Source organism: Homo sapiens, chromosome 9, assembly GCF_000001405.40.
Source record: "Homo sapiens chromosome 9, GRCh38.p14 Primary Assembly".
NCBI lineage: Eukaryota > Metazoa > Chordata > Mammalia > Primates > Hominidae > Homo > Homo sapiens.
This window is the reverse complement of record NC_000009.12, coordinates 28,662,845-28,680,981: the sequence shown is the minus strand read 5'-3', so window position 1 is coordinate 28,680,981 and position 18,137 is coordinate 28,662,845. Positions and strand designations below refer to the sequence as shown.

The window sequence follows — 18,137 nt, the reverse complement described above, 5'->3', positions numbered from 1 at the left end:
GTAACAAGAGGGAAAATAAACTAATGGTGTTATATAAAACTGAAAACCTTCCGCACAGCCAAGGAAACAATGAACAGAGTAATATTTACAAGCCACATATCTGACAAGGGTTTAATGTCAAAAATGCATAAAGAATTCACAAAACTCAATAGCAGGACAACAAATAACCTGATTTAAAAATGGGCAAAGGATCTGAACAGACATTTCTCAAAATAAGGCATATAAATAGTGAACAGTTATAGAAAAAATGCTCGCAATCACTAATTATCAAATAAAAGCAAGTTAAAGCCACAATGAGCTAACACCTCACACCTGTTAAAATAAAAAGATAACACCTGATAAAAAAAGATGACAGATAACAAGTGTTGAAGAGGTTGTGGAGAAACGTAATCCCTGTATACTGTTGTTGGAAATATAAATTAGCACAGCCATTATGGAATACAGTATGATGGTTTATGAAAAAATTAAAAATAGAATTACCATATGATGCAGCTATCCTACTACTGGGTATATATCCCAAGGAAATAAAATCAGTATGTTGAAGAGATGCCTGCATCTCATGTTTATTGCAGTATTATTCACAATGGCCAAGATATGGAATCAACTTAATTGTTTCTCATCAGATGAATGAATAAAGAAAATATAAATATACACAACAGAATACTACCCAGTCTCTTAAAAGAAGGAAATTCTGTCATATGCAACAGCATTGATGAGCCTGAGGGACATCGTGTTAAGTGAAATAAGCCAGGCACAGAAATACCAGTATATCATGATCTCACTTATATGTGAAATCTAAAAAAATGGAACTCAGAAGTAGAGAGCAGGTGTGGTGGGTGCAGGGCAGGGTTGAGGAGATATTGGTCAAGGTACACTAGATTTCAGTTAGGTAGGAGAAATTAGTTGCAGAGTTTGAATGTACAATGTGATGACCATAGTCAATAACACAGTCACCTAGAATATAATTCCAGATATAATCCAATAATTATATCTGGAAATTGCTAAGAGAATAGATTTTAAATGCTTTCACCACAAAAAAAAACGGTAAGTATGTGAAGAAATGAAATGTATATAGTAATTATACTATTATACATTAGCCATTCCACAGTGTATACATATTTTGAAACATGTACTTGATAACTATATGTAATTTTTATCAATTAATATAAATGAATACATAAATAAAAATGTTTAAAAAGGACCAAATTAATATTCTTGAAAAAGCAGGACAAAGCAACTCATTAGGCTTTAGTATAACACTTTCTTTTCATGTTTTTATCTCCATATCTACATTTAAATATAATTATTAAAAATTATAAACCCTCTTTATTACTATTATTTGTATATGTGAGGTGATGGTTGTTTCACAAGTGTAAAGTTATCTTCAAACTCATGAAGTTGTATACATTAAATATGTACAGCTTTTCGTATGCCAGTCCTACCTCAAAAAAGTGCTATTTCTAGTTTTTAAGGGCTAGGAACTCTAGGTATCTGGAATCTTATACTTTCCGTTTTGAGGATTGGGATAGCAATAGTTTTCTGAAAAGCATCAGCAAGACATCCTTATTGATTATGCATCATAAGATGACATCTACAAAACAGCAATGCTAAGAAATCAGAACCAAAGTTAGAAGATTAGAAGATAAATCATGTGGGAAGCTGAGTTTTGAGATTTTCTTGGATTAAAGTCTGGCCCCAAGGAACTGTATTGTAGCTTTGATAATGGTGAAAAGATTTCTTTAAAACTTAGAAATATTATATTAGAATTTTTTTTCTGAAAGTCATCAAAGTTTTTGTACTCACTAACAACCAAATTTGCCAGTAATGAAAGAAGATGAGATGACCCGCCAAGAATTTCTCTAGGTGTTTTACAGTCATTTCTCAAATATCTTTGAGTTGAGAAACAGCTGAGTGAACACAATATCAAAATTTTCCCTAGATCCAGGGAACCTTCCAAAGCCGACTGCCACATATTGTATGATTTTGTGCATATCAAAGATCCACCATCCCCAAAATCGCTGATCTGTAATATTTTATTTTAAAATTATTTATTCTATGTATTTATAGATTCACACATTTATTTACCTGATTAATTAAATAAATATGTAATGAGTTTTTCTAAGTAAAGTACTGTTGAGGCACCAAGTTTGTGGTTGGGTAACAATATAGCCAGAGCTCCAGCTCATCTTAAGTTTGCATGTTTATCAGGAAAGCAAAATATAATCAAAAGATTACTCAAATAAATATAATTTCACTTAGTAATGACAGTTCCATTTATTGAGTATTTGATGTGCAAAGCCCTGTTCTGAGTGCTTAGTTGTATAAACTCAGTCCTCACAACCATCCCTTTAGGTAAATGATATTGTATCTGATTTTCTAGATAAGGAAACTAGAGCATAACAAGGATTACAGCTTTCCTAACATCATGCAGTCTAGCAAGCGATGCACTCAAGATTTAAACTCAGTAAGTCTGGATATAAATCTTGCGCTCGAAACCACTCTATTATGAAAAATTGACAGGGATGAAAACTTCAGGAAGCCAAACAGAATATCAAAAAGCACTGCCATTTAGAAAGAAGTATTCATTTGGAAGGGGCATTTAAGCTGATACCTGAAGAAAGAAGGAAATGACTAAGCAAGGAATGGAAAGAGGATTGCTCTAACAGTGCCAACAGCCCATGTAAGGGCTTTGAAATAGAATGAAACTTTCAGCACAGATGGAGCCTGGTGAGAGTGGGAGAGCAGGCCAGAAGGTGGGGCTGGAAAGTTTGACTGTGACAGATCAGGCCAGGCCTTTTAGATTAAACATTAAAAAAATAAAGTTTTTTTTTTTTTTTTAATATTCAAAGCACAACAGGAAGTCATTTGTGGAAAGACATGATCCAATTGATATTTTAAGATAATTTTCGTTGGAAGGTAGAGAATAGATTGAAAGGGCAGGAGCTCAAGAAGAAAGACTAGTTAGGAGACCATCAGAATAATCCAGGAGAAAGGTAACAGCTTGGAGTGGGGGTGGCAGTAATAATGATAACATGTAGATGGATTCGGGATGCTTCTGGGCAGGTGAGAGAGAAGGAGGAACTCAGGACATCCCAGGGTATTGGTTTCTCGGTTTGGATTTCTGGTTTATGGTGTTACTGCCTGATCTTCCTACCATTAGAATTACTATCCTGAATTATGATATTTTCTGTCAAAAACCTGTGTTAAAATTACCTATATTAAATGAAATTACAATGGATTTTTTCATTAGAGCAGTTTATTAAATGACTGTAGCATAAAGGGCTTTAATGAATATGAATATGGGCAGTTGTAAATGGAACACAGGTGGCCAGGGCTCAAGGGATTATGTGAGAGCGTTAGACAGTATAGTTGAAGGTGAGAGTGTGAATCCACTGAAGATATGTGCTGAATCTGGACTAGTATGTGAAGTTTGCACTTTCATCCAAGATGTGCAGAAATACCAGTACTCATATAAGCCTCCTTCTTTATCCATCAGTCACGCAACAAATATTTCTTGGATACTGGCTTGCTTTGTCTTAGATGCTCTACCAATATTGTGAGTATGAGATAAAGTAAGCAGGAATAGCCCATACCTTCAGATAGCTTCAGCTCTGTTGTTTCTCACTCAACTATTTCTGCCACTCTATCGCATTTTTAATGATTTGATATTTTTTGGTTAAGGAACATGTCCGCACAATTGTTATCCGAATGCCATTATTGGTATCTTTTAATCAGAGATAGTGTAGCAGTTCTTAGTAGCTCACACTCTGAAGTCAAACCACCTTGGTTTAAATGTTAGCTCTTTACTTGCCTGGTTAGTTAATCCCTCTGTGCCACAACTTTTTAACTTTCAATTGGGATAAAATAATATATTTGGACTGTTGTGAGAATTAGGCATGCAAATAAATGTAATGTACTTAGAACAGTGCCTAGCATACGGAAAGCATTCAGTAACCGTTAATTATCGCTATTATTTTGCTAATGTTGTACAAGACACAGTAGTTTTCTGTATGTGTTTGTTTGTGTGTAATTTAAAGAGATAGAGTTTATAAACATATGTTTTAAGACCAAACAAAATATGCCATCCACTTAAGAAAATGTGTAGCCATAGGAGAATTTCAACTTTTAAAAGTTTAAACACAATGACAATTTTTAACTTGATTAACCTAATAAAAACACAAGGATGTATGGCTTTCACTCTTGGGTTTTCAAAAGATTAAAGCAAATAAAATGCCAATATCCAATTATGTACCTCTCTAAAAAGGGCAAGAACAAAAGGAAATGTAAGCCACCAAAGCAATCCACAGTGAAGTCCTCGTAAATCTTAGAGCCACCACCACCACCAACACCACCACCAACAACACATGTTTTAAAAGCAGGCAACTTAAAAAAGAAGAGTCAAAATGCCTTCTTTTATTGTTTTATTACTGGATTTATTTATTGAAGAACAGGCTGTATGCATTCTATACTAAAATAGGATTTAGAATTTAGTGTAGTAAAAATGTAAGATTCTCTTGTGGTATGGTTTATGACAACATGTTTCAGGTGGCATGTATAGAGAGAGTCAATCAAGTAGTACTGTCATTGTGCTTTTTTTTAAGTTGGAAAAATGTTTGTTTTTAATATTAAGCAGTTCAGTGAAGGACAGAGTCAAATTATTCATTGAATATATTTTTCCTATGTTCCTGTCTTCTCTCTATTGCTCCAGCGAATGGTATAGCTAATTTGCTGTCTTAAAATTTGGCATCATATAACTTAATCTTTAATATTAGCATAACTATTTTATGCTATTAAAATTAAGAATTTATAAAGCTATTTTATTATATTATAATTAAAATGGAATTAATGCCATGTTTCAGTTTTTCTATTCTAATGGAAAAGTAATATTAAATAAATATAAGTTCCGAGGAAATGTCATTTCTATTATGTCATTTTGTTAGGAATATCATATTATTAATTGAAACAGCTAGATTTCATGTAAAATGCCTTATTTAAAATGTTATTTTTAAATGTATATATACATATATATCTGTGTGTGTGTGTGTGTGTGTGTATGTATATATATATATATATATACATACACACACACACATTTTTTTTTCTTTTTTTTTGAAATGGAGTCTTGCTCTGTTACCCAGGCTGGAGTGCAGTGGCATGATCTCGGCTCACTGCAACCTCTGCCTCCCAGGTTCAAGCAATTCTCCTGCCTCAGCCTCCCGAGTAGCTAGGATTACATGTGCCTGCCACCACACCTGGCTAATTTTTGTATGTTTAGTAGAGACAGGGTTTCACCATGTTGTCCAGGCTGGTCTCAAACTCCTGACCTCAGGTGATCTGCTCGTCTCAGCCTCCCAAAGTACTAGGATTACAGGCGTGAGCCACCGCAAAATGTTATATTTTTATAAACTTTTGTATATTTAAAACTTAATATTAATTTTATAAACTTTTGTTTGTTTAAAAGTTAATATTCATTAGGGAAACAGATTATATTGCATTTTAATAACCATCCTTTCAAAAAGCCAAAACAACAAATAAAAGAAAGAGCAAGCTTTTATTTAGAACTTGACTTTTATTTAACAATCACGAAATATTGAAAATAAAACACTGAATCATCCAACTTTGATCAACTGCAATGATTACAGGTTTCAAGTTTTATTAGGTACCATTGCATTCAATTTAACCTTTGCTCCCACTACTTCCATGTCCAAAGCCATTCAGTTTTGAAACTTTAAAGGCAGTGATAAATAATGGAAAGATCTGTAATCGTGAGAAAATAAATGCATCACTTTCTAAGCCTCAGTTATATATATGTGAAGTGGGATAATACCGCCTTTCTCACATAATTTATTTCTTGAGGAATAAATTAAATAATGTTTTTAAAGCACTAGGTATCATATCTAGGTACATAGTAGGCGTTTTATTTCTCTTCTTCCTTCTGTAACTGAAAAGAAAAAGCATAATATGACAGAAGATGCAGATTACATATAACAATTCAAAATATTTGGTCTACTGGATGTATGAGAGACCGTCTTTCCCCAATGTAGTGTAGACCATTTCTGTAGGTCACATTCTACACTCTCCAAAATATTAATGGAGCTTCAGGTGAGAGGCTGCCGATCTGTTGGATGATCCTTTAGTGATGCTGTGTTATTAGCCTTATGCAATCATCCAAGAAATTTAACAGCCAGACCTTTTGACCATGATGAGTTCTGCATCATGTGTTAAAGCCTGTGTTGTCCCGTGTGTTAATGCTCTAGACTACTGTATATAAAGTATCAATAATCATAAATATTTAAATAAATTAGAGGATTCATTTCCTTTTGAGAGAAGATGTCATATAGTATATGTTTTCTCTGGAAAAGTATTCTCCCTTTTTCCCCACCTTGAAATAAAGTGTGAGAATCACTATAAAATGTGGTAGAAAAAGAGAAAATGGTAAAAAATGTGTACCTTTTTATTTAAAGCAGGGGTTTTCAAGTCTTTTATCTGAAACACTTGTAGAGACATAATTAATAACAACAGACTATTTCTACCTAGAAACATTCAAATGTAGGTTGATATTTTTCCTTGTAAAACTTCAAGTAGCACTGAAAGTTCTAGGGAGATCGTTTCCTTCGTTTTCAAATTATTCCTAGAATATCACTATAAACCTAAATGATATGCTTACTCCAGTTTGAATCAATTTAAAGTATTGTTTATCCTTAAAGATTATTACATTATTGTATAAGAAGTCAGCAGAGCCACAGTTATTATTTTATAAATTGCATTTACATATTCCTAGCCTTGAAGTTAGGGTCACGTTTGTTTGAATGAGGAGTAATTCATGCCTGTTTGTAGTTTAAAAATATTAATCCTCTATAGTTACTGTTACAGCATGTTCACCTCTCTTTAACATTGTTTTCTCTCTTCACCATTATATCATGAAGACTATGAGACTGGATCTGTATTTTTTTTTAATTAGGTTTACTGACTACTTTAGATTTTATTGACCATACTAAGCATATGGATGGATTTTTTTTTTATTTTTTCTTTTACACATGGTTTGGGGGTATCTTTTGTCTGTTAACTGCTTGAAAATACATGTTCATCAAATTCCTACTTTTTGTCTTCTGTTTATAAACGTTATCACTTACCTTGAATTGTGTCGATTAAAGTATTGAGGGTATTGCTTCTTACGTTTTTGTTCTCAGTCTTGTCCCAGCTCAGTTGAGCTACATCTACCAATTCTTATGAAACTGATTTTTCATATTTTTCTTTTATCCTCTGAACAATATTTATGATGATGATGATGATGATGATGATGATGATGATGATCGAGACAGAGTCTCACTCTGTTTCCCAGGGTGGAGTGTAGTGGCGTGATCTTGGCTCACTGCAACTTGCGCCTCCCGGGTTCAAGCGATTCTTCTACCTCAGCCTCCCAAGTAGCTGGAATTACAGGCACGTGCCACCACAACTCACTAATGTTTTTATTTTTAGTAGAGACGAGGTTTCTCTGTGTTGGCCAGGCTGGTCTCAAACTGCTGACCTCAGGTGATCCACCCACCTCGGCCTCCCAAAGTGCTGGGATTACAGACATGAGCCACCACACCTGGCCTGAACAATATTTATTCTATTACTAATATCTTTCTGCTGTTTCTCTAAATCATTTTGGTGAGAAGAATCTAATAAATCACATGATCTAGGATTACATCTGGGCCTGGCTTCTCATCTGGTGTTATCATTTAATACAGAATGTGATGCCCCATCACTGTAAACTTCGATTTACTTTTTTAGGAATTACAGCTTTGATTTCTTTTATCCATTATTTTATTATTAACCCACAAAACTCTGAAGGAATTTCTACTTAGAAAATTGTATTACTTAAACTCCCCTTTAAAAAATACCCTACAAACACAATGCTATTGTAAGTTTTATCAACACATTTCACCCAACTTCTTTATTCACTCACTTGACCATTTAGTTTTCTAATTAGAAAAATAGTCTCCTTTTAATACTGTTTATTGTGTTTCTTCTTTTGCATTCATACTCTTTACTTCACCAACATAACTTATTTTTCACATCCCTCAAATAATATTGAGTCTTAGTTAAAATTGTTTTCTTCCAAGGAATTAGGAATTTCTGGTTTGTGGTTGTAAATAAAATGTACATTTCTTCTTCCTCAAAGATATCATGTATCTGATCTATAAATATGATCATAAACAAAAGATCTTATGAGGTTTCAGGATTCTCTCCATTGTAATGCTAAAATTCACATTTCAAACAAATAGATCATGGATTTAGTTGAATAATTTTCACATTCCATATATATTTTAAAACACTCAATAAACACTTTAGACATTCAGAAAGCACTTTAATCAAATTAAAGATATGGAACTTAAAACTTATAATGAGTAGGAAACAGCACTTTATTTCATGGAACATACAACTTATAATTTAAGATTTGTATGCTGAGATATCCAATATGTAAGCCAATGGTGGCAAAGTGTGACAGTGTACATATCTTGTTGATTAAATGAGATATGCATATGAAAGTGCCTATCACAGCACTTGTTACGGTGAGCTTCCAATAGAGTTAGAGTTGTTTGCTGTGAATTTATAAATTATAAAATAAAACAGGGCACAAAAAAAGTGAATACTATACAGATTTAGAAAACAACCAGGCATTGGAGAAGTTGAAGCATTCTCAGGAAAGCAATGATGCTGCAACATATGCAGAAATTCGTAAAATGCAATGCAACCATTCTTGGTGTTTTAGGGTTTTTCTGCCTAGTGTCCTACTATTCTGCACATATGAATGCTCCCTTTCTTGCTAAAAGTGGTTGCCACTTTCTTTCTAAGTCTGTTTCCCCCTAATGGAAGTGTAGCTTCTGATTTCTTTCCAGAACCTAATAGGACATGTTATTCACTCTACTGAATTTATTTGGCTATAAAGCATCTTCTCCTCAAAGTGAGTTATAATACCTCCGAACAAAAGACACAAAGCACATAATAAGAAATATATATATTTAATTTCTGATAGTAGCTTTTAGAAAAATTGAAATGATAATATAATATTTATAAATCCAACACTTAAAGCATGAACTTATATGACTTCTCCTGTGATAAGGAAATGCTCATGTCTTTATGTTCCAATCTTCTATATGTGCCTTGACAAAGTTATACTTCTTAGTTGAGTGCTACTTTTTTTTAACTCTTATTTTAGGTTTGGGGTACACGTTCAGGTTTGTTATATAGGGAAATGCGTGTCACATGGGCTTCTTGTACGGGTTATTTCGTCACCTGATGAATAGGCATAGTACGTGATACGTAATTTTTTGATTCTTTCCCTCCTCCCACCCTCCACTCTCAAATAGACCCCAGTTTCTTTCTTTGTATCCGTGTATTCTCATTGTTTAGCTTCCACTTATAAGTGAGAACATGTGGTATGTGGTTTTCTGTTCCTGTATTTTTTTTTTTTTTTTTTTTGCTTAAGATAATGGCCTCCAGCTCTGTCCATGTTGCTAAAAAGGTCATAATCTTTTTCTTTTTTATGGCTGCATAGAATTTTGTGTTGATATGTACCACATTTTGTTTATCCAATCTGCCACTGATGAGCATTTAGGTTTATTTAGGTCTTTATTTATTTAGGTTTATTTAGGTCTTTGCTATTATCATCAGAGGAGCACCATCTTTCTACCATCCCTTTTTATTCTATACTGACTTTTTTTGTCACCTAAAGAGTGAGAGATTTATAGGAAGGGTCAGCGATGTGCAGAGGGGAAAGGTCGAGCAGACGTCCATGGTGCTGATTCACTGAGATTTGTGCCTGAATTTAACATGTGTGAGGCTTGGAGTAATGGGCATGTAGAAAAGGGATGCTATACAGTTATCACCCTACATATTTGTGTATGGGAAACATGGGAAAGTGACAATATGCAGCAACAAAATACTCATCTATCTTGCTTATCATTTTAATTCTCTTTTATCAAGTAGATGGGAGAAAATAATGCTTTTTTGAAAAGTTTCTTCCCCAGATAATTGAAACTGTAAAAGTTTGAGTTGCTATATAATTTTATACTGTATATACTATATAGTATCTTGTTATTTTAGCAAGCATATGTATTTTATTTTCTATGTCTCCCTGAGGAAGATTCATAAAATGTAGGAAATGATAGCCATTCATTTGATAAGTTTAAACCTACCATATTGCATATTAACTTATCAGATGGATAACCATCATTTCCTACATTTTATGGCTCTTCCCTGGGAAATCTATGAGATATAAAGTAAGGATATTTGCTAAAATTTGGTTAAAGTAGCCAGTGGTAAAAGCTAAACCCTCTACTTCTTATAACTTAGCATCATGACTAGAAAAATGATTTGATGTGGTAATGCACATAAGAAAACATTTCATTTACAAATTATTTGGTTTTTATAATCCAACAGCCTTTCTCAGTAAAATAACATGCTATTGTGTGGTTTGATGTTTTGCAGTATGTCATAATCTAGGGTCTATTTTAGTACCTCGGAAGTCCCAGACAGACATAATTTTCATTGCTATATTGCACATTTAACAAAAGCTATTATAACAGCAATATATAGTCAGGTATTTTTAAAAAGGCAGTAGAGTGATAATAAAAATTTCATAGCTAATCACCATCATTTTACAAAGACATATATTGCTCTGAATATTCTCTTTCACCCTCTTGTTATTTGTAGGAATTGATGAGTGCCATCAGAAAGCTGTATCATGAGCTGCCTGCACTTCTAAAGTGTCCAGTGGATTTTTAATCACATGAGGTAAATGCCAAATTTATTTCAATTGTATTTTCAGGATGAAATGAAATAGGATTTTTTATTTTAAAACTTATTTTTATTATACCAAGGAAGTGGATAATTTTATTTAATCATATATTTAATTAATTTAATCAAATATTTAATTAGTTCCTCTAATTTGTTAGCCCCAAAGTGACTGGAGGAAGTTATTGGCATGTTGACAATCCACTGCTGGGTTTATAAATTTTTCTCTGTAAAGCTACTATATATGTGATGATATGTTTCTGACAGTCTGTATACTGTTTCTGTTTGCTTAATGTCATTTTTATCCATTAAAACACCATTTTAGCATGTTCTAATATACATTTGAAAGTGCGGTGACTGAAGATGTTTCTTTATTAATACATACAATCATACAATAAAAGTCATGATTTAAGAGGTATATAAATTTAAATTTATATAGGAGGTACTGTACATTTTAAATGAAAGCTGAGTTCCTTTTCTTTTTATTTCCCCCACTAGTACTAATGGCCCTTACGGTGGCTTGTGTATGTGTGATGGGAGTGACTTCCTTTTCTTGGAATGTCTTGTTAGTTTCTTTATCTTTGCCTTCTCTGCTAGTGACCACTTACCAAGCATCACAATGGGTATTTTTGTTTTTGTATTTTCATATTTCTTCCAATTGTTGGAAACTATATTGTGGCATTTACAACTGTGTTTTCTTTTTACTATCTGAAATTACAGAGAAAAAAAACAAAGAAGTCCAGTGGTGCCCAGGAAGATTAAGTTTAGCTCATAACTGTTAAGAAATGTCTTATTTAATTGAACTAAAGAAAGGTATATGGAACTGCATCACTTGTGTCCTCATGAAGGCTAAGAAATGAAGCACTAATACAAAATTTTCTTCTGAAAAAAAAGAAGTTTTCTAAAAAGGGAATATGCTTGCTTTCAGCCAAGTCCACTTGTCTCAAACAATAACAGCCAGGAAGCAGGGAGTTGTACATAGGTGATTACCCAGGTAGGAATGGTGAATACATACATAGAAACACAAATACACGTACACATTAGTCTAGGATGGGATCTTGGGGTTCAAAGAAAACTTGTATTCTTCATATGCAGAAATATAGATTAAAATATAAAAAATAAATATATTTAAGGGGTAACTAGGGTAAATTAAACAGGTACAAAATACACAATATTGGTCAAATTTTTTAAAAATTAAAGGCATCATTGATAAAATTTAAATTGTGAATTGCACCATGAGGCATATGGTTCATAATTTCAAGAGTCTCCATTATGTGAACTTGGATGAGATAATAACTAAAAATTGACAATCTTGTGAAAAGAATTAGGGGAAACTGCTAATTTGCACAGCACAAAACTGCCTGTCATTTATAGGGCTCTTCCAATCAAAAAGAACATTTAATGGCACTTAAAATATGATAAATTTGAAATGATTTCAAGACACAGTGAAATGTAATTGCTTTTTTGAATATATCTGAGAATACTCTTTCACAGTTTCTTTAGTCAGCTTAAGTAATCCTGGTAAATTAAAACCTTTTTTTCCTGCTTGAATTTATGTGACATTCTACAATATATCTCTGATTGTGAACCCAATGGACACTAGTTGTTTTTAGATGTACTTTCAGAGCGTATAGTTAGGAGGTTTTTTTTTTATCAGCTGAAAGTGAAACACATTATTAATCTAAGAAATTATTAGAAGTTATTTAAAAATTAATATTTTGTTTCACTTTTATGGGATTTAAAAAAAATCAAATCCATATGCAAATTTTTCTGCACTGAGAACTTTATTTTAACCGAAGTTTAAGGCAAGTAACATAGGGAGAGTGAAATGATAGGTCAATATCCTCTAGGTTCTTGTTCTAATTATGAAGTTCATTTTCACTTCCACTTTCATCCTCTTCACCCCACAGCACTGGTTCCTTTTCTTTTGCCTACAGATAAGATTTCATTTAAAATAAGAAAAGGAGATTTTAACCTTCCCCTACTACCACTCCACCTCGGGTACTGAATTATTTGCCTATTATTTTATTGCTAATCTCCAAGAAAAATAAAGGTCTTTATTTTCTCAAAATCTTTGGTGGGGTTTTAAAGATTATTTTCTCAATTCTAAAGCCATCCAGAATATTAAAAAAAAATCCATGATATTAGTTAAGAGCTAGAAAAATTGTGAATATAGCAGAGACATTTTATGTTGTCCAAAGAGTCATAGGTTCACGTTGAGAAGGTGTCACCAGTGTGATGACTAACATGCACTTGGAATGTAGATGACAATACAGGCACATTGAACAAGCTGTAAAATAGGTCAGCAGTGTGTATAGAAGAACATGCCCAAAACTGTTAGCTCAGTCCACAGTTGAAGAAGAACATTTATAAACCCAAGGATAACTGCCCAGAACAGACATCATAATTTGGGAATTTGAAAGTTTTTGTGTTTTGTTTTTGTTTTTGTTTTTGTTTTGACAGAGGCTCACTCTGTTTCCCAGGCTGGAGTGCAGTGGCACAATCTCGGCTCACTGCAACCTCCGCCAACTGGGTTCAAGCAATTCTCATGCCTCAGTCCCCTGAGTAGCTGGGACTACAGGCATGCAGTACCATGCCCAGCTAATTTTTGAATTTTTAGTGGAGATGTGGTTTCATCATGTTGGCCAGACTGCTCTTGAACTCCTGACCTCAAATGATCCACTTGCCATGGCATCCCAAAATGCTGGGATTACAAGCGTGAGCCACCGTGCCCAGTGGGAATTTGAAGGTTTGAGAGGATTAGGTATGACTTGTTTGGAGAAAGTAAAATTTAAAAGTGTAAGAGATGATGGTGACTCTCTGTAAATGTTTTAAATGATGTCAGGTGAAAAGGAGATTAGATTTTATAGCTGTGGTTCTAAGGGAGGCCATCAGACATTTGGATGAAATGTGACCCAATATGAGAAAGGTTTTAAAAATAATATTACATGGGTTTAGTTAAAGTGAGAAAAAACTGTGAAAATTACAATTTCTATATAAACAGAGTGGGCTGTTACATGAATAATTGACTACTGACTCTAGAGATAATAGTTGGTGTGTTTGTTTGATCAGCCAAGTACTTCTCACGGAGCATGCATTTGTCAACCAGTGTTTGAAGAAATAACACTTCACATCTTTTTTATTATTCTATAAGTCGTTGATGATCTTTTATGTGGAGAAATAGCCTTTATATACATTTTATTTAATACTAAGTGATACTTTTTAAGCTATATGTTTTCTTAATTTAAAGTGATTTTAATATAAAGAATATTTTTTTAAAAAATGCTATAATTGTTGTATTTTCATTCTGTTACTAGGATATGAACCTGAAGCCAACTATGTACTGTGCTTAAACATGCATTAGTTTTATCTAGCTGAGAAAAACTGACAAAAGTAAGGCCAAATATTTCAGTGGTTACAATCCCAGATCCAGATCCAGTATTCCTGGGTCTCTACTTTCTGGATATGTCTCTTTTTCAATTTATATGAGGTCTCTGAGGCTTAGTTTACTAGTCTGTGAAAAAAAGGATAAAAGTACTGCTCACCACATGATGCCATTGAGGCTTATAGTACAACCAAGGATGGTAGGAAAGAGTGATTTCAAATAAACTATTACAGAATATATGCTTTGCCATTTAACTGACCTTGAACTAGAGCCTAACAATTATTTAGTTGACTAGGAGTACCTTTTAGAGCCATTTTAAAGCATAGATTAATGTCAAATATTTTATGGGTATTTTACTTATTATTTTCTAGTGATATAGGGTTCTAGATTGGATAAAGTGTTGGCCATTAATCAGACTTCTTTTCATGTATTGGATAAAACCGGAGTTATTTTCAAAGGAAAGTCTTGACATTGGTTATATATATTTCCATTTGTATGTCTCTGCAGAAGTACAATAGTGCATGTTCAGGTATATATTCTGATTAAGCATATCAGCTTCTGAGAAGTTACCAAAATTATGCATGCTTTCAAACCCATGAATACATTCTTAAAAAGTAACACTAAGCCGGGCGCAGTGACTCACACCTGTAATCCCAACATTTTGGGAGGCCGAGGAGGGTCGATCACCTGAGGTCAGGAGTTCGAGACCAGCCTGGCCAAGATGGTGAAACCCCGTCTCTACTAAAAATACAAAAATTAGCCGGGTGTCGTGGTGCATGTGTGTAATCCCAGCTACTCAGGAGGCTGAGGCAGGAGAATCGCTTGAACCCAGAGGCGGAGGTTGCAGTGAGCCGAGATCGCGCCATTGCACTCCAGCCTGGGCAACAAGAATGAAACTCCATCTCAAAAAAAAAAAAAAAAAAGTAACACCAAATATCTATGGTCTGGTACTCATCATAAAATATATACATCATAACTTCTACCAGCCAATATTGATCATCAATGTAGGTGTCAGAAATAATACTGAGGAATGATTGCCTGAATGATATGAATCATTTTCATTCATCTGCATAGCTTAAATTTTACCAGTTGTTTAAACAAGGCTATTAAAAGCTTTATATTTTCTCTATAGAAGTGCTTTCACTAAACCAAAACTTGAATCAATGCTATCAACTTACACTGATTTGTATTATAAATGCTGGAAGTTCATGCTTGCATTTAGTAATATTATTCATGGTGTAATTCATGGTGTGTTTTTCTTCATCCTTTATGAAGTTTCTCCATTAAGGAGACCATGGTACATATTTTCCTTCAGTCTCACCACTCCAAATAGCAAGGTTTTTTAGGGCAACTCATTTATTTTTAACTTATGATTCTATTGGATCATGTAATAGATTTATTTGCATGTGTGTGTGTGGAATACAAGGAATTTCAGAACTAAATGTGTTGCACATATTTGGCATGTAAACATAATCTAATGGCATACGTGGTAGTGAAACATAGCTGCTCTGAGATCAGTCTAGGTATGGAACCCATATCTTTTATTTAGATCTAGAGTAGATTTGATCAGGTTGCCACTGCATTTTTCTCTTCAGTGTTTATTTTATGGTTTTGTTCTGAAGATTAACACTCTTGATAAATGTCAGCTATTGTCAATATTAAGTTCTCAAGAAGCATCTCTTTTTCCACCACCTTTTTTGGCCTACTAAAACACATTTTCATGAATGTATTTATTTGCTAAATCTTTATTGAGTACCTATTGTGTTCGCTTATAACATATATATATATATATATATATATATATATATATATATATATGTAAACACATACATAAATAATACAGATGAAGTCCTTGTTGTCATAGACCTTATGTTCTAGATGGGTAGTTTTGGTGTGGAGTCCGTTAATAACAAAAATATGTGAAAGAAAATATTCAGTAATAAGTGCTCAGTTAAAAGTAAAGCAAGGTGAGAGCTTGAAGAGCTGGCTACTTTGAATTGTGTTGTCAATGTAGATATATTTTAAGCTGGGACCTGAATTATAACAAGGTCAATATCTGGAATATCTGTATAATTACTGCAGAAAGAGCATTCTGGGAGACAAAAAAATCTAGTCCCCAAGAAGAGGATATGATGATCTCATTGGAGAGATTCCTTGGTTCTGTGCGATAGCCATTTGATGAAAATTTGTGTATGTTTCTCTCTTTTCCTTTCAAACTGAAAGGCCCTTCCACAGGAGAAGCCCAGTCATCCTTCTTTCTAATACATTCTTCTCCTTTTTATCTTATCTCAAAATGTTAAATTGACCAAGGTCTTACTCCCTATTCTCTCTCTGACTATTTTTCCCTTGAAGGCATCCAATCTGATCAACGTAAAATCTACTATGTGGGCTTAAATTGCGAGTGAGTAGTAGAGGTCTCTCAGGCTTCTAACCTAGACTGTGGTTCCAGCCCCATTTATCACAGCTCTCTATATTAGCATTTAGGTCTCAAAGACTGTTTGTCATTGTTCCTTGCAGATAGCTCCCCTAGAAGTAACAAAAAAAGCAGTACTGTGGGCTGAGGAAGAAGTCCAATCATCCTAGATTCCCTTAGCCATAGTCTTACCTAATTTCTAGTAGGTACTAATTTTATCCCTAGCATTATTTTATCTGTTTTAATTTTTTTCCTCACATATTTTTATTCTGCATCAAAACCAACTTATAATACCATCCCAAATCCTGTTAAGAATAAAGCAGGACACAATATCCTCTCTCGATATAAATATTTAATTTCTTACTTCTATTTACCAAATATCTCATATTATCTATAGATAACATTTTTGTTCCTCATGAATATTGTTGTATCATCAGTCTTAATAAGGGACTTAAATAACTCAAGCCTTTTTAGGTATAATAATTCATATATAATCTCAAGTTGATTCTTCCAGGAATATTGGTCCACTTTTCGTGTTTATCTCAACTCAACCCCATACTAATCCTTATGCATTTTTTCAGCAGTGCAAGACTTGTCATGACTCACCAGTCATCTTCAGCATACGGCAGACAGGGGAAGTGAAGGGAGCTACAATTAAAAATAACCTTTTTAAATGGTTTATGTGTTCTTTATATACCCATATATATTTTCAGTCACTTATATTTTGTTGAAAGATATTAAAATATTATTAATACATACTTTGGAGATATGAAGCAGAGGAACTTATTCCAGTTTTTGGTTTGCATTTTCTTTAGGGCCTTTCCCAGTATTTTGCTCATGGTAAGAGTTGAATTGCAGTGAATTGTTGTTTGCCTTTGTTGCATGCCATTCTCACAGGGCATGCAGGATATCTAATCAGAATACAACTGCAGGCCGGATGCGGTGGCTCACGCCTGTAATCCCAGCACTTTTGGAGACCAAGGCAGGTGGATCATCTGAGGTCAGGAGTTCAAGCCCAGCATGACCAATATGGTGATACCCCATCTCTACTAGAAATACAAAAATTAGCCAGGCATGTTGGCCGGCACCTGTAGTCCCAGCTACTCAGGAGGCTGAGACAGGAGAATTGCTTGAACCCAGGCAGCAGAGGTTGCAGCGAGCCGAGATGGCACCACTGCACTCCAGCCTGGGCAACAGAGTGAGACTCCGTTCCCCACCAACAACAACAAAAAAAAATACAACTGCACCTCAATATGTTAGCAGCAGCATCTACTTGTCGGCAGAAAAGAAGCTTGAAATGAATTTAGATGACTTTTTTTGGTCTGACAGTTATAATTCCTAATCTATATTTATTTCCATATCCTCCCAGTTACAGAAGATAATGGAGAAGAAAAGTAAAACTCCCTTGAACCCTCACACATCTACCCTTGATGTGTGAAACTTTGTTAATATTCTTCTATTTACCTCTATGAAAGCTGCATTTTCCCAAGGAAAGGCTCATTTTTGCTTACTCACAATGTTGGAAATCAAAGTCTTTTTTGCTGAATGGTCAGAAGT

At 33.9% G+C, this 18,137-nt stretch overlaps 1 protein-coding gene across 14 annotated transcripts in view; it reads left to right on the top strand.

Moving 5' to 3' along the window:
* Window positions 1-18,137, top strand: part of LINGO2 (leucine rich repeat and Ig domain containing 2) — a 1,275,985-nt gene that overhangs the window by 532,620 nt on the left and 725,228 nt on the right. For all 14 annotated transcript variants that reach the window (NM_001354574.2, NM_001258282.3, XM_047422814.1 and 11 more), the window contains one exon: window positions 10,702-10,782. The gene's annotated coding sequence lies outside the window, so the exon portion shown is untranslated. The remainder of the gene's footprint in view (window positions 1-10,701; window positions 10,783-18,137) is intronic.